This window comes from Homo sapiens, chromosome 17 (assembly GCF_000001405.40).
Source record: "Homo sapiens chromosome 17, GRCh38.p14 Primary Assembly".
In the NCBI taxonomy this organism is placed as follows: Eukaryota; Metazoa; Chordata; class Mammalia; order Primates; family Hominidae; genus Homo; species Homo sapiens.
In genome coordinates, this window is record NC_000017.11 from 18,259,655 (window position 1) to 18,283,125 (window position 23,471).

Consider the following 23,471-nt stretch of genomic DNA (forward strand, 5'->3'; position numbering starts at 1 on the left):
TTTTTGTAGACACGGGGTGCTTGCTATGTTGCCCAGGCTGGTCTTGATCTCCTGGCCTCAAGTGATCCTCTGGTATCAGCTTCTCAGAGTGTTGGGATGACAGGCGTGAGCCACCGCGCCCTACCCAGTTTCCTCATTTGTAAAATACTTTCTAAGGTTGTCACCATGAGCAAATTAACAAAGAATGCACGTGTAGCTCGCAGCATACAGCAGGCGCTCAGTGAGTGGCAGGTTATTATTCCGTTTTGTTTTGTTTTGTGCGCCAGGTTATTATTCCCACTTAGTGTCAGCACCCCTGTGCTCGTACCCCCCTACAAAGGGAGGCTCCAGAAGAGAAGCATCCGTCTTGGTCCTTGCTGTTCAAGGGGGCTCGCCCTGGCTGACACATAGCAGGACCCCAATAAATGAGCCACAGCTGTTATATGCCCAACCATCCTTCGCAGGGGAGGAGGGGGTCTAGTGTCCCCATTTTACAGGAGAAAAACTGATGCCCAGGTGGAGAATGGCCCACACAAGCTCGCACAGAGCAGGTGGCAGGGGTAGGCGCTGTGCCCCTCAGGCCCACAGGTAAGAATGAGGCCACCAAGACACTCTCTCGCAGAGGTGACCTAAGAGGTTGGATGTGCCGGGCCTCTAGCCATGTGCAGCCTCTCTACCTGGTCCCCAGAAGGAACGGGGCCCAGACAGCTTCCTCCACACCGGAGGCTCACATTACAACGCACAGACGTCCTGGAGGGTCGCCTGTCACGTCACCTGTTCGCGGTCTCGGAATGCAGCCCTGCACCTTTAAATCCAGACTGCGTCAGGGAGTCCCGCCCCAGAGGGAGTGCGGCTGTCGGCTGGGGGGCGGGACCTGCCCTTCATTGGCTGAACCGCGCAGTATTTTGGCACCTGTGCGCTGGACTCGAGCGCTCCGATTGGAGTTAGGGCCTGCTTGTCTGCGTGCTGCGAAGTCCGCGGCTGCCCCCGGGGCCCTAGTCGTTGGGTTCCAGGGTCCTTCACGTTCCATTCCCAGGCTGGTCTGAGCTCCGGGGCCGTGGTCCCGCTGCCTCCTCCGGTCGTCGTGCGGAAGCTGCGACGCAGGTACAGCTGGAGCGCGGCGGGGCGGCCCCCAGGGTCACCGGGCTCGGGGCTTGGCGCGCGACGGAACGCAGATCGGGGGCGTGGCCCGCGATCACCGCTGGGGAAGGCGGGGAGGGGACCTTTGGGGGACCAAGGGCAGCGTTCGAATCCTAGCCCAGCCCCCTTCCCCTCTCGGTCTCTTGGTTTATCCTGCGAACGGGGCGTCACCCGCCCACCTAGGGCTGCTGCGCGGCCTGCTCCGCCCGGGCCCAGGGCAGGCAGGTTTGGCGGAGGAGGGAAGGCCAAACGGCCTCCAGGGCCCCGCTGCGCAAACTTGGGTTATTTTCAGCCACCCGTGCCCTTTCCTGCTTCTCGGAGCTGGAAGGCTGTGGACTGAGGCCTGCGCGACCCCGCCAGAGATGGGGCTGAGTCCCAATTTAGACAGGTTGGGAGTATTTAAAGCGCTTTACAGTTTGCAAAGTAGATTCCTGGTCTCTCTGGGGGCGGGTGGCAGTATTGATCCCCGAGTCACCGATGAGGAGATTGAAACCGGCCCTGGGGCCGTGGCGGGTCACCCGGTTGGCCTGGGATCGCCCCAGAGACCGTCTTATTTTTAGTCTGGGGCGAATGGGCGGGTGTACGGGGCTGAGTCACACAGCGCTTCAGGCTTCAGCTACTCCAGGCATCTGGTCACCTGGCAACTGGGCCCCTGGCACCCACACTCTGGCAGGGCAGGTAGAAGTCCTTGGTGCCCGGGCAGGCTGTGACCTCATGGTCATCTGCTCAGGCCTCCCCGGGAGAGTTCTGCTTGGTGTCTAACTGATGTCCTAAGGTCCCAGCCCTTCTCAGCTCCCAGGGCCTGAGGGCAGTGTCCCCCTCGCAGAACGTGAGGAATGTGGACTGGGCCCTAGGAGATCTTTGCCTCCACTTCCCAAGTGCTGGCCCCCACCCAGCCACACACTTCAAGGCTGCCCACATCTGCCCCTCACTGCTGCCTATGCCATCTTACAGGTGAGCAAACAGGCTGGGGCCCAGGCCTTCACCTTACTTTCTGTGTTGCTTGGCCTTCCGGCAGTTGAGAAGCATCACCCACCACTACCTACACATTGTCCCAAGACTGAGAGGCCCAGAGAGCCCCCTGTACAGAGGCACTGGGCAGCCCTTTCTGCCCTGCCAAAGGGGCTTCAACCCTGACAAGCACATCTGCATTGGCCTGCCTGGGCAGCTTGGGCCGTCTTACTCTGCCCGTGCTCTGACTTGGTAGCTCTGCCTCTTGGGCTACCCTGTCAAGATTTGGGGGTAACTGGTCCCAGTGGTCCCCCAGACTGGCTGGGGCCCCAAATTGTTGGTCTTCTCTGGACTTTGGGCTCTTCTGAAGAGGTTATCATAGAGGGCTGCTGTGCCCTCTGGGTAGGAACCTTCAGATGAGGCTGCTGCTGAGGACCTGGGCACCTGGCACAGGGAGAATCCGTCAGACTCTGTGGGCGGATGAGAGTCTGGAGGCCTTGCAGTCATGGGTTGGAGACCTTACCACTCACTTGTGAGCTGGCAGCCTGTAGCTCTGTAACATAGGGGTAGTGATGATGACACCCTGGTGATGTCAGAGGTCCTGGAGGGTGGGCTCCAGGGAGAGAGGCCCCTTCCTATACCTGCACAAGCCTCAGGGCCTTTGTGAGCTTCTTTCCAGGCAGCTTTGGGAGAAGGGGCTTGGCAGCTCCCTCATCTCCTCATGAGAGATGGGGGCTTGGGACCCCAAAACCCAAGCTCATATCCCATCCCTGCCCTTTCTCAGGTACTTTACGTGATTTCCCAGGGCCTCGGTGTCCTCCCCTGTGGATGGGTGGCCCCTTTCTCTGAGAAATTCTCAGAAAGCCCCCCTCATGGGCTCAGCTCTGTTACCCAGCATAAGGACAGCTAGAGCACCTGTCCACAGCAGCCCCTCTCCCAGCCTGGCCACCTGCACCTGAGCTGCCCCTTCACCCCTGGCTCTCTTACAGGCAGACCATGGCAGAGTTCTCCCAGAAACGGGGGAAGCGGCGTAGCGACGAAGGGCTGGGCAGCATGGTGGACTTCCTCCTGGCCAATGCCCGCCTGGTGCTGGGCGTGGGCGGGGCTGCTGTGCTGGGCATTGCCACCCTGGCCGTGAAGCGGGTAAGGCCAAGTGGGCGGGTCATGCCTGAAGCTCCTAGAGGAGGACAACAGGGTTGGGCTTTTCAGAGGGGCCCTGGGGAGGGGTGGGGACTGCCCAAGGCCTTCATGGGAGCCCAGGGCACCTGCTTCTCCACCCAGCACGCTGGTCTGCTTTGCCCTGGGCTTTGCTATGACTGCCCAGATTTCATATACACTGATCTGTGTGACTGTGCTTGCAGTTCATTGACAGGGCCACTAGCCCGCGGGATGAGGATGACACCAAGGCAGACAGCTGGAAGGAACTGAGCCTGCTCAAGGCCACACCACACCTGCAGCCCCGGCCTCCACCTGCTGCCCTTAGCCAGCCAGTGTTGCCCTTGGCCCCCTCGTCGTCTGCCCCAGGTGAGTGGCACTCCTTCCCCTCTTTTGGTGTCACATTCAAGAGACGCAGCCCAGGCTTTGCCCTGACTGACTGTGTGACCCTGCGCGAGTCCCTGCTTCTCTCTCGGTTGTGGGCTCCTCAGATATTTAATGGGGGTGGTGTTTCTTTGCCCTGTTCCTGGAGCAAGGTGGTAGCGTTGTGATGGTGGGGAGCTTTAGATGGGGAAACTGAGGTCCAGAGGGGCGTGACATACCTACCTACTCTGCATGAAGCTGTTGTCGCCAGGGTGTTGGACTCTGGGGCAATGAGAACTCGTCACCAAGAGCTCACTATATGTGAGGATCTGAACTGAGTGCCTTCTCAGGTGCCACTGCAGGTGAGAAAAGTGAGGCCCTGGGACATCACACAGCTAGTTCTCGGTGGCGTTTTCTTAACTAATCACAGGCTGTTCCGACATGTTCCCCGCCCCTTCACTCTGCAGAAGGGCCTGCAGAAACTGATCCTGAGGTGACACCACAGCTCAGCTCCCCAGCACCGCTGTGTCTGACACTGCAGGAGAGGCTGCTGGCCTTCGAGCGGGACCGTGTGACCATCCCAGCAGCCCAGGTGGCTTTGGCCAAACAGCTGGCTGGCGACATCGCCCTGGAGCTGCAGGCCTACTTTCGGAGCAAGTTCCCGGAACTGCCCTTTGGGGCATTCGTGCCTGGGGGGCCGCTCTACGACGGGCTGCAGGCGGGGGCTGCGGACCATGTGCGTCTCCTGGTGCCACTGGTGCTGGAGCCGGGCCTGTGGAGCCTGGTGCCGGGCGTGGACACTGTGGCGAGGGACCCTCGCTGCTGGGCCGTGCGCAGGACGCAGCTTGAGTTCTGCCCCCGTGGGAGCAGCCCCTGGGACCGCTTCCTGGTCGGGGGCTACCTCTCCTCCCGCGTCCTGCTGGAGCTACTCCGCAAGGCGCTGGCTGCTTCTGTCAACTGGCCGGCCATTGGCAGCCTTCTCGGGTGCCTGATCCGGCCCAGCATGGCCTCGGAGGAGCTGCTGCTCGAGGTGCAGCACGAACGCCTGGAGCTCACTGTGGCTGTGCTTGTGGCAGTCCCTGGGGTCGATGCTGACGACCGCCTCCTCTTGGCCTGGCCCCTGGAGGGGCTGGCGGGGAACCTCTGGCTGCAGGACCTGTATCCAGTGGAGGCTGCTAGGCTGCGAGCCCTGGACGACCATGACGCTGGGACTCGCCGGCGGCTGCTGCTGCTGCTGTGTGCTGTCTGCCGTGGTTGCTCGGCTCTGGGGCAGCTAGGCCGGGGTCACCTGACCCAGGTGGTCCTGCGTCTGGGGGAGGACAACGTGGATTGGACGGAGGAGGCCTTGGGTGAGCGCTTCCTGCAAGCCCTGGAGCTGCTCATCGGCAGCCTGGAGCAGGCCAGCCTGCCCTGCCACTTCAACCCCAGCGTGAACCTCTTCAGCAGCTTGCGTGAGGAGGAGATTGACGACATTGGCTATGCGCTATACAGTGGCCTACAGGAGCCCGAGGGGCTGCTCTAGGTGGGTGGAAACGGGTGGTTGCCATGTTTTCTAATGCTGGGGAGCTGCACCCACCTCCCTTCCAGGGATTTGAATAGTGGTTTTTCTCTAGCTTTTTGCCAGAACAAAGGAGGGTACATTACTTAAACCCAGGGCATCAGGATGTGCTTGGGCTATGGTGGCCATAAACCCTGAGCCCAGAGAGCTTGGGTCACTGTCACCTGAGTGCAGCTGGGCTGCCTCAGGCAGCTTGGAGTGCCAGCCATTCCTGCAAGCACCGTTTCAGCTCTTGGGGCCAACCCCAGGACCTTTGGCTCTGTCCATCACCAGCAACCAATCCACCAACAGAATGTGGTTTCTGCCATCCTGGGCAGAAGCTGAAGGCCAGCTTCACATTTCTGCTGAGAGAAGGTGACTTAACGCCTTTTCCGGCCCTAGCTCCAGGCGTTTTGAGGCGTCTGGTGCCTGATGGTAGGTATGGTGTGTTTGTTCTGTCCCCCAGGGGCTGGAGTCACCTGGTGCCCCTGAAGGACAGATTTTTGGCTGTTAAAGGATGGCATTTTCCTGCTGTCTTCTGTGCGTTTAGTTTTCTTGCTGAGCGGGAGCTCAGTATGACTTGCCACCCACCTGATACCTCAGGGCAAGGCCCTTTTTCCCTCCAGCCAGGTGAGTGTTTTCTTCAGGCAGCTGAGGGTCCTGGGGGAGCTGAGGCTCTGTGCTGCACCCCCAGCCCACAGCTGGGGCATCTCACTGGAGCTGTTCCAGGCCCCACTGGAGAGCAGAGGACCTGATCCCCCACTAGAGAGGTCCGGTGTGCACAGCCGGCCTCCCAGTGTGCCAAAATGAACTGCTCTCAGCTGATGGCTGTATTCTGACTTTGAAGCCTGTTAAGAGGTAGCAAGGGGGCTAGAGGAGGGAGATTCCACCTCCCCTCCCAAGTGACCCTCCTCCTGCCTCTGGTATCCTTCCTTTTGAAACGAAGCTCAGCTTCGAAGATGTGAACAAGAATAAAAGGAAAAAATTCTAATGTATATATAACTCAGGCTGGATAAGGGAGTCTTGGTGCTTTCATACGCAGCTGTTGAGGGTTTTCTGTAAGTCCTGTGGCTTGTCCTGGCACTTTGGCAAGAGTGCTTGAGGTCAATTGGAGGTGGTAGAGTTTACTTTAAAAAGTAGCATCTTGGCCGGGTGTGGTGGCTCGCATCTGTAATCCCAGCACATCGGGAGGCCGAGGCGGGCGGATCACGAGGTCAAGAGATCGAGACCATCCTGACCAACATGATGAAACCCCAACTCTACTAAAAAGACAAAAATTAGCTGGGCGTGGTGGCACGCACCTATAGTCCCAGCTACTCGGGAGGCCGAGGCAGGAGAATTGCTTGAACCCGGGAGGTAGAGGTTGCAATGAGCTGAAATTGCACCACTGCACTCCAGACTGGCGACAGAGCAAGACTCTGTCTCAAAAAAATAAATAAATAAGCATCTTGGCCCCGCGCTGTGGCTCACGCCTATAATCCCAGCACTTTGGGAAGCCGAGGCCGGTAGATCACCTGAGGTTGGGAATTCAAGACCAGGCTGACCAACGTGGAGAAACTCCATCTCTGGTAAAAATTCAAAAAAATTAGCTGGGCATGGTGGCACATGCCTGTAATCCCAGCTACTTGGGAGGCTGAGGCAGGAGAATTGCTTGAACCCGGGAGGCGGAGGTTGTGGTGAGCTGAGATCGTGCCAGTGCACTCCAGCCTAGGCAACAAGAGTGAAACTCTGTCTCAAAATAAAATAAAATAAAATAATAATAGTAATAATAAATTAGCATCTCAGTCTGTTTGGGCTGTGATAACAAAATGCCATAGACTAGGTGGCTTATAAACATCAGAAATTTATGTCTTACCATTTTGGAGGCTAGAAATCCAAGAGTGAGTCACAGATTCCATGTTTGGTTGAGAGCCCACATCCTGGTTCATAGGTGTCCCCATCTAGCTGTCCTCATGTGGAGGAAGGGGGGAAATGCTCTCCTAGGGTCTCTTATAAGGAAACTAAGCCCACCCATGGGGTGGGGGCCCACATTCATGATCGAATCACTTCCCAAAGACCCCATCTCCTGTTAGCAGTGCCTTGGGGGTTAGGATTTCAGCATACAAGTTGAAGGGGACACAGACTTTCTGTCCGTGACAAGTAAGGTAAGTGGAAGGAAAAGATGAAAAGCTTGGTGTTGCTTTAGTAATGGGAACCAGCCAGTTTGGGATGTTTCTTCCCGCAAGGCTGAACTGCTGAGCCCTGCACCATACTTTCTGTAATTAGTGGGCTGTTGACAGCCCTTCAGCCATGCTCATCATTTTTTAGAAACCTGTGTTTTTTTTCTTTTGAGAGTGAGTATCACTCTGTCGCCCAGGCTGGAGTGCAGTGGTGCGATCTCGGCTCACTGCAACCTCTGCCTCCCGGGTTAAAGCAATTCTTCTGCCTCAGCCTCCCGAGTAGCTGGGACTACAAGTGCGCGCTACCACGCTCGGCTAATTTTTGTATTTTTAGTAGAGATGGATTTTCACCATGTTGGCCAGGATGGTCTTGATCTCTTGACCTTGTGATCTGCCTGCCTTGGCCTCCCAAAGTGCTGGGATTACAGGCATGGGCCACCGCACCCGGCCAGAAATGTGTGTTCTCTACCTCCCTTGCACCTCTTTGTGGCTGCACAAGTGGGGAGGAAACTTGCCCCGCCTTGTGCAGGTGAGAGGCCAGGGCATCTTAACCCTCTCACCCGCAAGAGCCAAAGCCAGGGCTCACTTCCTATCACCAGATGACACATGTGGGCTGGGGAGGGCTCTGGTCTGCGTGCAGGGCTGCTTCCAGCCTAGCTGTGCCACTCGCACCCTGCTGGTCCTTCCCCGACTTACGTCCTGAGGGGACTCCCCTACCCCTTCCAGCTGTGACTGCAGGACCCAAGGGAAGCAGGACTGTGCCAAGCAAATGGAATAGTGGTGTAGGCCTCTAGGTGTTGGGTGTAGGGCAAGAGGCGGGCACGAGGGCTCCTTGTAGAGGATATTATAAGGGTCCAAGGTGGGAGACACTTGGCTGAGGTCCATTCCAATCACTTGGCTGAGGTCCATTCCAATCACTTGATGCCTTGATGCTGGAGAGCTTTGAGCAGTTTCCTTGGCGGTGTTGGGGCAGCAAGGGAACAGTCTGGGGCAGAGCCTGTGCCTCAGTCTTCTCATCTCTTAACTGGGGAGGGTCATGTAATACCCAACCCCAGGTGCTTGTGACGATTAACTGGGGTGGGCAGTGCTTAACATAATGCCTGGGAACGAGGACTGGTGGGCCTAGCTGTGCCCCACCCTCCAGCCACATCCAAGCCCCAGCACAGCAAGGTGCTCCCAGATGCCACTCCAGCCCCTGGTCAGAGCGCAGCTGTCCAGGAAGCAAGCTCAGTCTAGAGTGCCACTCCTTCGACGACCAGACCCCAACACAAGCCTGATGTAGAAGCCACTTGCTTCAGGTAGCTCTAAATGTACTGTCTCATACCATGGCTTAAAAAAAAAAAATCCAGGATGAGTTAAAAGTGTTCGTGGTTTCATCACCTAGCCAAGGTTAATGTCTGGGTCTTCCGTTTCTAGCCAGAGAACTGGAAACAAATCACTGTTTTGCTAGGAGCTTTGCATGACCTCACGCCCTAGGCTGCCGGGTCCTGGGCTGTCCTGATGGGCTGTGAAATCCCACCCACTCCCAGGGCTGCCGGGTCCTGGGCTGTCCTGATGGGCTGTGAAATCCCACCCACTCCCCTCCCCGCGAGGCAAGGACAGCCTCTGCCCTGCCTGCCTGGGAGCACGGTATGGGCTTGCCTAGGCCTCAGTGTCTTAACACTGTGGTGACTCAAATTCCTTGTTTTACCTTCACCAAGTAACCCAGAGCCAGGATCCTTGATGACTCTGGTAAGGCAGTGACTACCCCTGCTCAGAATGCAAGGGTCGCTAGGGAAGATTTTAGAAAAAAAAAAAGGACTCCAAAAATGGAGAATCTAAATGTAGTCCTTTGAAAATGTCACCCATAGATCCTCTACCACTAACTGTAATAAATTTGACCAAATAGCATTTCCTTTTTGTAAATCCACTTGTACGCACTTCTCTTCAGGAATACTTAGCTGTGGGATTGTCCTCAAAGGGGGACCATTTATTCCCGTAGAGCTGACCTGTTCAGCTCGTTTCCGTATCTGCTAATATTTAAAAAAGCAAACAAAAAAACAGGCCAGGTACAGTGGCTTATGCTTGTAATCCCAGCGTTTTGGAGGTTGAAGCGGGAGGACTGCCTGAGGCCAGGGGTTCGAGACCAGCAGGGGCAACATAGACCTCATCTCTACAAAAAATAATTAGCCAGGTGTGGTATATACCTATGGGCCCAGCTATTCAGGAGGCTGAGGTGGGAGGATGGCTTGAGTCTAGCAGGGCGAGGCTGCAGTGAGCCATGATTACCCCTGGGATTACAAGCTGGTCTCAAACTCCTGGCTTCAAGCAGTCCTCCCAGCTCGGCCACCCTAAGTACTGGGATTATAGGCGTGAGCCACTGTGTGTAGCCAACATTTGCTTTTTTTTTTTTTTTGAAACGGAGTCTTGCTCTGTCACTCAGACTGGAGTACAGTGGCCCAATCTCTGTTCACTATAATCTCCACCTCCCTGGTTCAAGCAATTCTCCTGCCTCTCAGCCTCTTGGGTAGCCGGGTTTGCAGGCATGCACCACCACACTCGGCTGATTTTTGCATTTTTAGTAGAGACGGTTTCGCCATGTTGCCTGGGCTGGTCTCGAACTCCTGACCTCAAATGATCTGCCTGCCTCAGCCTCCCGAAGTGTTGGGATTACAGGTGTCAGCCACTTGTGCCCGGCCAACATTTGCGTTTTTAATGACACTTTTCTTTTGTAATCAGGATATATATATAATCTTAATTCCTTGAGAAAGCTAAGGTTGTAGTGGAGAAAACCCAGGTGTGTTCCAAAGACAAACACCGGTGACTCTGGTGACCTGCACTGGGTCATCTCTGCATTGCTTGCCGAATTCCTGAGACGATAAGACCAATCAGTTCAGTGGGCTGCGGCCTCTGGCAGGCAGGGAGGCCACTGGGGCTCGCTTGCGTGGGTTTCAGAAGGAACCTTTCAGGTTCAGACTGCAGGCCAGACCCTGACTCTATATTAGTGTTTTCCAGAGGGACAGAACCAATAGGCTGTATGTAATATATAGAAAGCGAGTTAATTAGGGAGAAGTGGCTCACAGGATTACAAGGTGAAGTCCCAGAATAGGCCATCTACAAGCTGTGGAAAGAAGCCGGTAGCATAGCTGAGTCCAAGTCCAAAAGCCTCAAAACCAGAAAGCCCACAGTGCAGCCTTCAGTCTGTGGCAGAAGGCTCCAGGAAGCTGCTGGTGCAAGTCCCAGAGTCCAAATGCCGAAGAACCTGGAGTCTGATGTCCAACAGCAGAGAAGAGGAAGCAAGCATCTGGCACGGAAGAGGGAGAGGGCTGGAGAAGACTCAGCAAGGTGCTCATCCCCCTTCTTCCACCTGTTGTTCTGGCCGTGCTGGCAGCTGATTGGATGGTACCCACCCACATTGAGGGTAGGTCTTCCTTTCTCAGTCCACCGAGTCATGTCACTCTCCTCTGGCAACACCCTTACAGACACCCAGAAAAAATACCAGCCATCTCGGCATCCCTTAATCTAGTGAAGTTGACACCTAACATTAACCACTGCACCAACACCACCTGTGTGTGAGCTGGTGGTCTAAGGTGGGGATGGGGTGCACAGATCTGTCCCTGGTAGGGACGGTCAACAGGTGAGTGGCAACACCCTGGTGAGCATATTGAGCTGGGGCCACCTGTGTTCCAGTCCAAGAAACCTGGAGATCCAGCTGAATGTGAACATCCCAGGTCTTCGGCCGGATTCTATAAGAGGCAGGTGGTGAATTCATCCCAAAGGGCAGTGGGGTCTCTGCCCAGTGTCTCAAAAGCCAGTGCCTCCAGGTGCGGGCCCCAGCGCTGTTGGGCACATTGAGCCTGGCTCTGGGGAGTGGGGGAGCCGGATGTTGGTGACAAGGCTTATTTTTAATTCTGGATGCTCTAAGTATCCGGGGTGGGATCAGGCAGAGACTCCTCAACTGCTACAAGTTGTGTGGGGTGGTCTCGTTTCCTCTGCTGTTAAGTGCAAGCAATCACCTGGGGAAGCATGTGCAGGACGTCAGCCAGGCTTCTTTGCCAAGATGGCAGGGAAGCCTCCAGTTACCCCATGGGCTCTCAGCATTGGTGTGGAGAGCAGGGAGGGGCTTTTTACAAAACTCTGATGGGGCTTGGGGGGACATGGCATCAGAGATTAGGTTTCAAGGCCAGGTTAGCTGCTTGGTAGAGGAAAACACTTAACCCAACAGAGCTATGGTTCCTGCACAAAAAGGACAGGAGATGCTGTCTTGCTGGCAGCAGGAGGTTGAAACCACTGTAGGTGACAGCCTGGCCAGTGCCTAGTCTCAGCTAGATCCATCAAGGGGGGGGCGGGGGGGGTCCATTTTCTTTTCCTTGGTTTTGCATTGCACAAGCTGCAGATGTGGCTCAACACAGGGACTAAAAACCCTTCCAGTCAACGTTGACGGGGTAGGATGAGCTGCATGCTGCTAACCTGAGTGGGCCATCGAGAGAGACTTAGAAATTCCAACAGGTTTGATTTGTGAAGCTTTAATTTGCAGTCGTGCCTGACCGTAAGCCTTCACTAGAGAGCCTCAATATGAACAAGGACACCCCATTACGGATGAGGCAACTGGGGCTCCAAGGATGAGGCTGCACACCCAGGGTGGCAGAAGAGGCCAGGAAGTGGGAGCTGAGCCTGGGTCTGTCTGATCTCAGATGCCTGGCCCAGTCCATGGTGCAGCCCAATCCTGCAGTTTGCTTTTGAGACACACAGTTGCCTGCAGAGATGTGAAAACCACAAAGGCATCTGATATCCAGAAACTATTAAGAACTCCTACAACTCAACAACAAAGACAGACAACACAATTTAAAAATGGGGGAAGAGACCAGGTGTGATGGCTCCTGCCTGTTAATCCTAGCACTTTGGGAGGCCGAGGCTGGTAGATCACCTGAGGTCACGAGTTTGAGACCAGCCTGGCCAACATGGTGAAACCCCGTCTTTACTAAAAATACTAAACAAATTAGCTGGGTGTGGAGGCAGATGCCTGTAATTCCAGCTACTTGGGAGGCTGAGGCAGGAGAACTGCTTGAACCCAGGAGGCAGAGGTTGCAGTGAGCCAAGATCGCACCACTGCACTCCAGCCTGGGCACAAGAGCGAAACTCCATCTCAAAAAAAAATAAAAAATAAAAAATAAAAAATGGGTGAAGAACTTAAATCGACATTCTCCAAAGAATGTATACCAATGGCCAGTAAGCCTGTGGAAAGATGGTCAATGTCATTAATGACTAGGAAAATGCAAAACAAAACCACAATGACACGCCACTTCATACCCACTAGGATGACAAAACACTAGGATGGCTATAATACAAGAAAAGGAAAGGAACAAGTGTTCACAAGGATATGGAGAAGCAGTAACCCTGGTGTGCTGCTGGTGGGTGTAAAGTGGTGCATCCACTGTGGAAAATTTGTAGGTTCCTCAAAAAGTCAAAACATGGAGTTATGGTATAAAACTACAATTCCATTCCTCGGCATATGCCCAAAATAACTGAAAACAAGTCATCAGACACTCATACACCAATGTTCACAACAGTGCTATTCACAATAGCCAAAAAGTGGAAACAACCCAATGTCCATCAACTGACAAATGGATAATCGTGTGGTATATTCATACAGTGGGCTATCAGCTTATCATAAACATCGAGGACTGACATGCTACAATGTGGATGAGCCTGACAAACATCAGCCAAGTCAAAGAAACCAGACACAGGATGTCATGTATGGTAGGATTTCATTTTTTTTTTTTTCTTGAGACAGAGTTTCACTCTTTTTGCCCAGGCTGGAGTGCAATGGCCCGATCTCAGCTCACTGCAACCTCTGCTTCCTGAGTAGCTGGGATTACAGGTGCCTGACACCACGCCCGGCTAATTTTTGTATTTTTTTAGAGACGGGGTTTCATCATATTGGTCAGGCTGGTCTCGAACTCCTGACCTCAGGTGATCTGCCCACCTTGGCCTCCCAAAGTGCTAGGATTACAGGCGTGAGCCACTGTGCCCAGCCTGGTATGATTCCATTTAAACAAAATATCCAGAGTAGGTAAACCCACAGAGACAAAAAGTGGTTGGTGGTACCCCGGAGCTGGGATAGGCAAAATCACACACGCAGGGCCACAACCCACACCCACTCGGAGATGTTCCAGGAACAATCTCAGGAACCTGCATTTGTAAAAATCCTCCCCAATACCCCATCAGAACACAGAGCCACTGGTCTATGGGCCAGGAGCCCAAGACCTGAGAACAATCCTAGTTTCTTCAACAACTAGCAACATGACTGGGCAACTCACACCCACCTCTGCTCATCTTCTAAACTGTAAATCAGAGTCCATATGGCTTGTATTATTCACAAGGTTTTTGTGAAGGCAAACGGGGGAACATGGCCACCACTGGAAAAAGTGGAAGATGGAAAGTTAGTGATCTGAATCTGAACCTTTCATTAGACATCTCTGCTCTGAGGGACCATCTGTGGGGTGAGAAGAAATTGGGCTCAGTGCTTACCATGTGGAAAGGGAGGAAGGGCTCTCCACATGGGACACAAGGGACAGCCATGAAGGACAGAGGCTGACGAGACCTCCCAGGGTGAGCTCCTTCCAGCACTGGCTGGTACCTGTTGCTTCTGCAAATGTTCCCCAGACCCTCTGCACTCTCGCAGGTCAGAGTAAAAAAAGGTTGGATTCTTTCATTTTAAAAAAAGTTTGAGACAGGGTCTTACTCTGTCACCCAGGCTGGAGTGCAGTGGTGTGATCATGGCTTGCTGCAGCCTCAAACTCTTGGGTTCAAAGGATCCTCCCACTTCAGCCTCCTGAGCAGCTGAACTAAAGACGTGTACAACTGTGCTTGTTATATTTTTAAAAATAGAGACAAGGTCTAACTATGTTGCCCAGGCTGGTCTTGAACTCCTGATCTCAAGCAATCCTCCAGCCTTGGCCTCCCTAAGTGCTGGATTACAGGTGTGAGCCTCCACGCCCTGCCGGGGTTGGATTCTTTTTATTTTTTTAAATTTTTAAATTTTTTTTGAGACTGAGTCTCGCTCTGTCGTCCAGTGGCGCAATCTCAGCTAACTGCAACCTCCGCCTCCCGGGTTCAAGCAATTCTCCTGCCTCAGCCTCCTGAGTAGCCGGGTCTACAGGCGCACACCGCCACACCTGGCTAATTTTTTGTATTTTAGTAGAGACAGGGTTTCACCATGTTGCCCTGGCTGGTCTCGAACTCCTGAGCTCAGGCAATCCGCCCCCCACAGCCTCCCAAAGTGCTGGGATTACAGGCATGAGCCACTGCACCCGGCCTGGGTTCTTTATTAAAGCAATGAATTCTGGATGTCCTGGCTTAACTAGATTAAGAGGGAATGAAGCTTCTTCTGAAGGATCAGTGTTACCACAGCCATTTCCTTGCATTACACCGTCCTTCTCAGGACGTCTATGAGAAGCCCTGGGCAGCCTGGACAGGGACTGCCCCATGAGTGCTGGTGGCTCACTTGGGGCTTTCTGCAGGTGAAGGAAGCAGCCCTGGGAGCTTCTTCCTTTGGCACACAGTGGGCTTCAGCTGGGACTGCACCAATCCTCTGCTAACAGCAACCATCCTTGGGGGGTCCGAGGGAGCAGCTGCGTGACTTTTCAGCAGTGGCTATGGTCACTCCTGAGGCCTGGGAAGAGGGTCACTGTCCAGCAGAGCTGGCCTGCTCCAGAGTGATCTGGACCTTGTGCCCCTTAACACAAGAAGGCCCGACTCCAAAGGCCAACACTGTCCTCTAAGTTTCCAGGACACTAAATGGCCACTTGGTCCTGGTTAACTCATTTCTAAACACAAAGGGGACAGGTCTGAGAAAGTGGCGTTCTCTACCCTACCCTGAGCTCATCTGTTCTGAGGACAAAAGGGACGGGTGTGTCCAGGCTGGTGGCAAAGGCTGCATTTCCGGGGTTTCTTTGCTGTGGACCCCATGTCTGAGGAACTGGCCCGGGGCCTTTTGCTTCTGGCTTCCGACTCCAGGGTTCTTCCTCTGTCTCCTGTCCAGGACGGGGCTCCAGAAGTCCCTGTCGGGAGAGTCAGGGGAGGGGTGAGGTTAGAACTGACATGCAGAAGTGGCAAGTCCTGAACACGGTGGCTCATGCCTGTAATCCCAGCACTTTAGGAAGCTGAGGGAGGAGGATTGCTTGAGCCCAGGAGTTCAAGATCAGCCTGGGCAACATGGTGAAACCTTGTCTTTAAAAAATGCAAAAATTAGCCAGGTGTGGTGTATGCCTGTGGTCACAGCTACTCGGGAGGATGCCTGAGCCTGGGAGGCTACAGTGAGCTGTGATCACACCACTGCACTCCAGCCTGGGCAACAGAGCAAGACCCTGTCTCAAAAAAAAAAAAAAAAAAAAAAAGAGCAGCAGACGATAAGGCTGAACCAACTTTTTTTTTTTTTTTTTTTTTTTTTGAGATGGAGTCTTCGCTCTGTCACCCAGGCTGGAGTGTGGAGTGCAGTGGCGTGATCTCCACTCACTGCAAGCTCCACCTCCCGGGTTCACGCCATTCTCCTGCCTCAGCCTCCCGAGTAGCTGGGACTACAGGCACCCGCCACCACGCCCGGCTACTTTATTTTTTGTATTTTTAGTAGAGACGGGTTTCATCATGTTAGCCAGGATGGTCTCGATCTCCTAACCTTGTGATCCGCCCGCCTTGGCCTCCCGAAGTGCTGGGATTACAGGCGTGAGCCACCGTGCCCGGCCTTTTTTTTTTGAGGTGGAGTCTGGCTCTGTCGCCTAGGCTGGAATGCAGTGGTGCAATCTTGGCTCACTGCAAGCTCCGCCTCCCGGGTTCACGCCATTGTCCTGTCTCAGCCTCCCGAGAGTAGCTGGGACTACAGGGACCGACCACCATGCCCGGCTAATTGTTTGTATTTTTAGTAGAGACGGGGTTTCACTGTGTTAGCCAGGATGGTCTCGATCTCCTGACCTCGTGATCCACCCGCCTCGGCCTCCCAAAGTGCTGGGATTACAGGCATGAGCCACCGCGCCCGACCGGCTGAATCAGTTTTTATACAGCCATGTACACCCCACCAGCCAGCCTCCCTTCACACTGTGTCCAACTCTGTAAGGTTGAGGTGCGATGTGCCTGCTGCCTTATGTTACCTGACACCTCTCCCTCAAGAATCCTAAGCTTTGGAGACATTGTCCCACACTCACTTGGTAAGTGGACTTTCATGCCGGCCCTTTTTACAGAGGCAGAAACCCAAGCAAGCTGGCCTGTGTGGTAGGGTGGGAAAGACAAGCAGCCTATGACCGGCAACCTGCGGCCCACCTCCATGCAGGAAAGTCCAGCTCTGGATCCCTTCCTGTCCCCTCAACAGGCCTTTCCAGACCAGCTGCTCATTTACCCAGGACAGTCAGTCAGCCAGCCTGGAGGTCAGATACCATGTCCTTCCAAGTGGGGAGACAAGAGGCCAGACTGCATCTCACTTCAAATGTGGGTCTCTCACTGCAATGGCCATCTCTGGGCCCCATTAGCACTGGTAGCCAGTTCCAAGTCCCACAGTTTTTACCAAACCTCTGGTTTCTTTCTGTGCATGCCGGGCTAGTGACACATGTGTAAGAATCATAGTCTGAGACTAAACTCCTTTCTAAAACAGGAACCCTATGAATGTAGGCAGGGACCATCTTGTTGAGCAAACTTGAGGCAGAGAGGCTAAGTCATTTGTTCAAGGTTATACTGCTGAGCTTTGGAACCAGATTTGCTCAACTCCAAAGCTCCCACTAGGCCTTTGGGTCATTCTCAGCTACTTAAGCTCTGTTGTGCACTGGAGCAGGAGGAACCATTCAAAGTGCCTCCACGTACACCATTCAACTTGATGCAATGTCCAGGTGCCACTTCTCATGACACCCAGTTCCCGGACATTGGCCCAAGCTGTGTCACCCTGGGCAGGTTCCTAAATATCATCGGGGTTGGCATCTTCATCTGAAGAAATGAGGCTGGGCCAGGCACGGTGGCTCACGCCTGTAATCCCAGCACTTTGAGAGGCCAAGGCAGGTGGATCACCTGAGGTGGAGTTCGAGACCAGCCTAACCAACAGGGTGAAACCCCCGTCTCTACTAAAAATACAAAATTAGCTGTGCGTGGTGGTGCATGCCTGTAATCCCAGCTACCTGGGAGGCTGAGGCAGGAGAATCATTTGAACCTGGGAGGTGGAAGTTGCAGTGAACCAAGATTGCACCATTGCACTCCAGTCTGGGCAACAAGAGCAAAACTCAGTCTCCAAAAAAAAAAAAAAAAAAAAAGAAATGAGGCTGATGCTTATGGTCTGCCAAGGGTCACGACAGCTGCAAGGGCACATGGCCATGGGACTGGGAAGGCCTATGTACTCATCCTGGTGTCTGTTGCTATGGGACCCTGAGCAATACCCACTTCATGTGTCTGGGTCTCACCTTTCTCACTTATAAGTAAAATTGTGATCATAATGCTTACCCAATGAGGATGGAAGATGCACAGGAAGTATACTTAGCATAGTGCCAGGCATAGGGCAAGTGACACCATTACTGGTAGCTACCCTTTAATTTGGAATGAGGACTGTACAATTATCACCTTGCTGAAAGTGATCAAGTGAGGAAAAGTGAGGTGCAAGGCAGCCCAGGTGCCCCTCCCAATCCCACCATGACCCTGCCTTGCCTTCTTTCTGCTGTCCCCAGTCTCTGAGGTAAACACCTGAAAACTGAAGGCAGGGATTCCCATGCCCCTCCCTGCCTCACCTGGAGCGGTGTTCTCATCGACCCACTGGAAAAAGCCACACTGCTGCTCTCTCGGCTTGGCACATGTGTGGAACTGGCGCCCCTTGTTGGGTCCATCCTTCTGCACAGTCCGTGTGACGGAGGGCTGGCTGCAAAGGCAGGATGTGCCACTACCACTGCCATCACCAGGGTTGCCAAACCCACCTAGGTGGATCCCTGGGCCTGGTGGGCATCCCAGGGAGGCGCCCAGGGGTCTATATGCCAAGGCAGGAGGCCCTCCTGCTCCCGGATTGGGGCTGTCTGCCCACAGGAAGAAGTTGCAGCTACCTCCGTTGCACTTAAAGAACTGCCGGCCCCGGTTGGGGCCCTCCTTACGGACAGTGAGCAGCACAGCCTCCTGGCCACAGTTGCAGGTCACAGAATTGCTTTCACCAGCAGCCGTGGGTGGTGGGAGGGTCTGGGCCAGAGCCTTTGAGGACCCAGTCTGTCTGCTGTCAGCAGGCTGGGGGTGCTGGCTGTTGTCCATCCTGTTCAGGGACTGGTTAGCCTGCAGGCGGCCAGAGGGCTGGCTAGCCCTGGGGGGGCCCCCTGAAAATCTCAGGTCCAGGATCTCCCTCAGGGTGTCGTCGCATCCGCCGATGCAGCAAACAAACTCCAGAGGCATGGTCGGGGGAAGGCTACCGCGCTTAAACTTTAACTTTAACCTAGTGAGGCCAGAAGATGAGAAAAAACATTAACAACCAGATGCCAGCTTCTCCTTAGTCCAGTGAGGGCTGCTTTAGCCCTAGGCCTCTCTCCACCATTCCTTATGCATCAGGAAGCCCACACAAGTCCCCTGTGAGGCCCTCTATCAGCCCACCACAAGCCCCCACCAGTCATCACAGGAGTGGACAGTGGGAAACAGTGCAGATGAAATCTAAGATCCCAGTAATTCACTAAAATAAAAACACCTCTGAGAAGTCCCATGTCTCTGTATCAGCAGTTCTCCAAGTGTGGTTCCAGGGTGCCTGAGCCCTTTCAAGGAGAGTGCAAAACTCTTTTATAGGCCAGGTGTGGTGGCTCAAACCTGTAATCCCAGCACTTTGGGAGGCTGAGGCGGGCGGATCACAAAATCAAGAGATTGAGACCATCCTGACCAACATGGTGAAACCCCATCTCTACCAAAAATACAAAAATTAGCTGGGCATGGTGGCACGCGCCTGTAGTCCCAGCTACTCGGGAGGCTGAGGCAGGAGAACCTCTTGAACCTGGGAGTCAGAGGTTGCAGTGAGCCAAGATTGTGCCACTGCACTCCAGCCTGGTGACAGAGCAAGACTCTGTCTCAAAAAAAATTCTAAGAGGTTATGTCTATTTTGCTCTTATTCTTCCATGTGTATACAACGGAGTTTCCTGGAGGTTCCAGCACATGCAATGACTCAGCAGGCTGACTGCAGAAGCAGATACGGGAATCCAGCTCTCTTCTATTAAGCCAGACATACAAATTGCAAAATGTAAAACAATGTCATTAATGTCATTATTATTTTGCTTTTGAAAATAGGTATTTTATTACCCTAAAAAACAAGTTATTTACAGTAGTATGCAATGCATTTACTAGAAATAAATTATTAAAATTTTTTTTTTTGAGACAGAGTATCATTCTGTCGCCCAGGCTGGTGTGCAGTGGTGCAATCTCGGCTCACTGAAAGTTCTGCCTCCTGGGTTCACGCCATTCTCCTGCCTCAGCCTGCCGAGTAGCTGGGACTACAGGCGCCCACCAGTACGCCTGGCTGATTTTTTGTATTTTTAGTAGAGACGGGGTTTCACCATGTTAGCCAGGATGGTCTCGATCTCCTGACCTCGTGATCCACCCACCTCGGCCTCCCAAAGTGTTGGGATTACAGGCGTGAGCCACCACGCCTGGCCATTTTTTGTATTTTTAGTAGAGACAGTGTCTCACCATGTTAGCCAGGATGGTCTCGATCTCCTGTCCTCGTGATCCGCCTGTCTCGGCCTCCCAAAATGCTGGGATTACAGGCCTGAGCCACCAGGCTCGGCCTATTCATTTATTTCTAGAGACAGGGTCTGGCTCTGTCATTCCAGGCTGGAGAGCAGTGGTGAAATCATGGCTCACTACAGCCTAGACCTCTAGGATCAAGCGATCCTCCTGCCTCAGCCTCCTGACCAGCTTGGCCTATAGGCATATGTCACCACATCTGGCTAATTTAAAATTTTTTTTGGCCAGGTGCAGTGGCTCACATCTATAATCCCAGCACTTTGGGAGGCCAAGGTGGGTGGATCACTTGGGGCCAGGAGTTCGAGACCAGCCTGGCCAACATGGTGAAACCCTGTCTCTACTAAAAATACAAAAAGTGGTCAGGCATAGTGGTGCATGCCTGTAATCCCAGCTACTCAGGACGCTGAGGCAGAAGAATCACTTCAACCCAGAAGGCGGAGGTTGCAGTGAGTCAAGACTGCGCCACTGCACTTCAGCCTGGGCAACCCAGCGAGACTGTCTTAAAAAAAATTTTTTTTTAAATAAAAATTTTTTTTTTTAAAGAGATGGGGTCTTGCTACGTAGCCCAAGCTTGGATGTTGTATTTAATATGTGAATAATTTCCTAAGCCTGGTGTAGCAATCATCTATCTGGAGAGGGCAGGGAAAGAGCCCTTCATGGTTCTTTGCCCATGGCCCACTCCAAACAGGGTCATACCTGCCAAAGCAGTGACAGCATGGAACACAACAGAACTGGACCAGCCCTGCTGAACTGGCTGCTGCAGAACACAGCTACGCCCCTGCAGGGCCTGAGTGGAATCCCCGACACTCCTCTCTGGGTTCTGGCAGGAGCAAGGGAAAGATGGTGTACACACTCCAGAGGAGGCACCTGACTCAGGTGCCCAGCTCACCTGTACACAGGGTGTGGCTGACAAACTGGACACACACTGCTGTCCCTGCTGGCCTCCAGCACCGAGTCAGGAAGCCACACAGCTGAGCGACACTCTGGGAAACCCATGCAGCTGAGGTAGAACCTGGGGACAAAGTGCCATGTCAGATGATAGGAGTGCAGGAGATGCTCTCCGCTGTTGGCCATCAGCTAAGGCAGCCTTTCCTCAGCTGCCCGAGGACAACATTCCCTTTTCTGGATGACACTTAACTGGATACACAAGCACTCATATTGAATTGATTGGGAAAAATGAGCCTTCTCACATCCCAAAAGCACAAAGCAGCTATTGCTGGCCCTGCTTTCTATTTAGAAAACCAACAACCAACCAAGCTGACGCCAGGGGCTCTGTGCTGTGCACTCACACATTCTTGCCTTTCTGCCTCGTGCCAAGTCTGGGCAGTGTCAGGGGCCCCCTCAGTTTGCATGTGAGTAAACAGTGGCTTGGTGTGGCCTGGAAACCTGCCCAGAGACATGCATGCATGTGTGGATGGGAGCCAGGAATGGAAACCCATCTGTTTGTGACAAAGCCTCACCTGCAACATCTACACCCCACCCACTGCCCATCCATCCCATCCCGGTCTCTCCTGGCCAATGTTTTTCAACACCTTGCAGTCATGAAACGTTAGGGTTTGACTAGCTAATATGCATGTGATTTACAAATTCCTCATGAGTGTGCCTGGGTACACTATGAAGGAAAAAAAAGCCCCGAACTCCAATCATTTAAATAAGAAATTTACAATCTCAGAAATGGAAATTAACAGATAAATCATGGAGTGGCAAATCCCACAAGATAATCTCCTGACCTTCTGGAGTAACTCAGAGAAGCATTACAAAAGAATAACAGAAGAACAAACGAATAACTAAAGAATAATAATAATTCTCCAATTCAGAGAATTGGAGAATTCAGAGCTAAAACAAAAGTAGTTATTCTCTCTCCTTATATTCCAATGAGTACTAATCCAATAACCTACCGATAGCAAGGAAAACCCATCGACAGCATTTATTAAGTGCTGAAATATACGCCCAGTCATTGGGCTAAGCCTAGAGTGGCACTGGCTTCTGTCTGTGAGTGACGCGAGCCCTGACACCTGCTTCCAGGTCTGGCCCATAGACCTCTTGTTTCTGAGAGCCTGGGTGGCCTTCTCTTCACTTGGGCCAGCCAGGTTAATGATGGCTGGAGGTGAGGAGTTGAGAAACCTCCTTTCTTATTCAGCAGCAAGGAGCACAGCAGTCCCAGGTGGGCCAGGCAGGATGGAAAAAGGCAGTGAAAACCCGGTTTCAAACTCTGCTGCCCACCACGGCTGCTTGACTCCAAGCAAGCACCTCAGCCCTCTAAGCTGCATAAAAATCCCTGCCTTGCAGGGTAGTTAGGAGAATGGGATGAGGTAATGCTTACAGAGCACCACCCTGCATTACACCAGTGAGGGACGGCACCTGATGAATGATGGCTGCCACCCCTCCACCTCGTCTTTCCCCGTGAACTTCCTCCAGTGGCCAGCCACTGGCTCCAACAACCTGATGTGAAGCTAAATTGCCCACTCAGATCTACTATATTTAAAGCGAAAAGGGAGTTGAGATTTTCAGGCCCCATTCAGAACTAAAACTAGGAGAGAACAAAAGTAGTATCTGCTGAGTATCTACAACACATCAGGCAATGTGCTATATAGTCCTGACCATTTTCACCAAATCCTCACCCTTAACACAGCCTTGTAAGTACTGACATTTTATAAAAGAAGAAATTGGGGTTCAGAGCAGGTAAGTAACTTGCTTCAGGCCACACCACTTATATGCGGCATAAGTGGCATTTGAACCCAGACCCACCTAGATCTGAAGCTCATGCTCCTCCATGTGTTACACATTGGGTATATGATGTCCTATCCACAGGGGACAAAAAAACCCCACTATCATTCAGTTTCTCACCTGCTCTGAATTCCCATAGTGCTTTACACCTCAAAGGCCTGATCCCACCCTGCTATGCTTTTAGGCCAACACCTTGCCTGCAGGTTGGCAACAACAGGCCTGTCTTGAAAGATTCCATGGAGTGAAATGGCAGGGTCTTTCGAGCTACGGCTGACACCGCAGGTGCTGGGGAGCAGAGGTGGGGGCAGAAGGCAGCGCACTCACCCGCCATTCTTCTTGGTCTTAAGGACCATGTCCTTGTTGCACTGTGGGCACTTCCTGATGGGCTCTGGCATGGCTGGGTAGATATCTTCTTGCTGGGCCAACTCTGTCCCATTCCCAAAGTACTGGGCCAAGGCCTCGTCCAATCTGAAGAAAAGGCAAAGACAGACACCCATCAGCCAGCAATCGCTGCAAAGGCACCTACAACACTCTTACATGCACACAACAGGCGTGACCTTGAGAACCAGCTGGTCAGTGAGCCGCAGGCCTCCTGCAGAGAACAGACGGCAGACAGAAGACTGAGCTCACCATGGGCCCTGGTGCCGAACCAACTCTTGGGAGGAGAGTCCAGATACAGGCAGATGCTTCTGCTTGTCACCAGCCCACATTAAAAAGTAAAACTGGGCCAAATGTGGTGGCTCACGCCTGTA

The 23,471-nt window shown here is 53.2% G+C and overlaps 2 protein-coding genes across 8 annotated transcripts in view, besides 4 other annotated features; one reads left to right on the forward strand and one right to left on the reverse strand.

Annotated features, from left to right (window-relative positions):
- Positions 566 to 695: an enhancer, noted in NCBI's record as "active region_11834". NCBI's record gives its function as "activates an Ori minimal core promoter by ATAC-STARR-seq in GM12878 lymphoblastoid cells {active_cell/tissue: GM12878}" and the evidence as "EXISTENCE:reporter gene assay evidence [ECO:0000049][PMID:35858748]".
- On the forward strand, positions 1,008 to 6,898 carry MIEF2 (mitochondrial elongation factor 2). Of its 4 annotated transcripts, none has more exons than XM_017024190.2 (4): positions 1,008 to 2,073; positions 3,060 to 3,213; positions 3,432 to 3,594; positions 4,056 to 6,898. In XM_017024190.2, exons 1-4 carry the CDS (start codon positions 2,060 to 2,062, stop codon positions 5,108 to 5,110), a joined length of 1,386 nt encoding a protein of 461 aa, XP_016879679.1. In that variant the 5' UTR covers positions 1,008 to 2,059; the 3' UTR covers positions 5,111 to 6,898. The 4 variants fall into 4 exon arrangements, with proteins under 4 accessions (XP_016879679.1, NP_631901.2, NP_001138372.1 ...); NM_139162.4 differs by having other exon boundaries at positions 1,008 to 1,083; NM_001144900.3 differs by having other exon boundaries at positions 1,008 to 1,083; positions 4,130 to 6,583.
- Positions 1,317 to 1,937: an enhancer, noted in NCBI's record as "H3K27ac-H3K4me1 hESC enhancer chr17:18164285-18164905 (GRCh37/hg19 assembly coordinates)". NCBI's record gives its function as "activates a minimal SCP1, AML or CMV promoter by ChIP-STARR-seq in primed H9 embryonic stem cells {active_cell/tissue: H9 hESC(primed)}" and the evidence as "EXISTENCE:reporter gene assay evidence [ECO:0000049][PMID:30033119]".
- Positions 1,938 to 2,557: an enhancer, noted in NCBI's record as "H3K4me1 hESC enhancer chr17:18164906-18165525 (GRCh37/hg19 assembly coordinates)". NCBI's record gives its function as "activates a minimal SCP1, AML or CMV promoter by ChIP-STARR-seq in naive and primed H9 embryonic stem cells {active_cell/tissue: H9 hESC(naive and primed)}" and the evidence as "EXISTENCE:reporter gene assay evidence [ECO:0000049][PMID:30033119]".
- Positions 7,649 to 8,242: an enhancer, noted in NCBI's record as "H3K27ac-H3K4me1 hESC enhancer chr17:18170617-18171210 (GRCh37/hg19 assembly coordinates)". NCBI's record gives its function as "activates a minimal SCP1, AML or CMV promoter by ChIP-STARR-seq in naive H9 embryonic stem cells {active_cell/tissue: H9 hESC(naive)}" and the evidence as "EXISTENCE:reporter gene assay evidence [ECO:0000049][PMID:30033119]".
- Positions 11,774 to 23,471, reverse strand: part of TOP3A (DNA topoisomerase III alpha) — a 43,567-nt gene continuing 31,869 nt past the window's right edge. For all 4 annotated transcript variants that reach the window (NM_001320759.2, NM_004618.5, XM_047436634.1 and 1 more), the window contains 4 exons: positions 23,044 to 23,187; positions 20,882 to 21,004; positions 18,021 to 18,703; positions 11,774 to 15,326 (listed from right to left, as the gene is read on the reverse strand). In NM_001320759.2, the coding sequence (NP_001307688.1) occupies positions 15,148 to 15,326; positions 18,021 to 18,703; positions 20,882 to 21,004; positions 23,044 to 23,187 (1,129 nt within the window). In that variant the 3' untranslated portion in view covers positions 11,774 to 15,147. The remainder of the gene's footprint in view (positions 15,327 to 18,020; positions 18,704 to 20,881; positions 21,005 to 23,043; positions 23,188 to 23,471) is intronic.

Coding starts and splice junctions, on each gene's coding strand:
- MIEF2 (NM_148886.2), top strand. CDS start 1,482: ATGGGGCTGAGTCCCAATTTAGACAG. Junction 3,214..3,431: donor CCACCCTGGCCGTGAAGCGG/GTAAGGCCAAGT, acceptor CTGTGCTTGCAG/TTCATTGACAGGGCCACTAG. Junction 3,595..4,055: donor CCCCTCGTCGTCTGCCCCAG/GTGAGTGGCACT, acceptor TTCACTCTGCAG/AAGGGCCTGCAGAAACTGAT.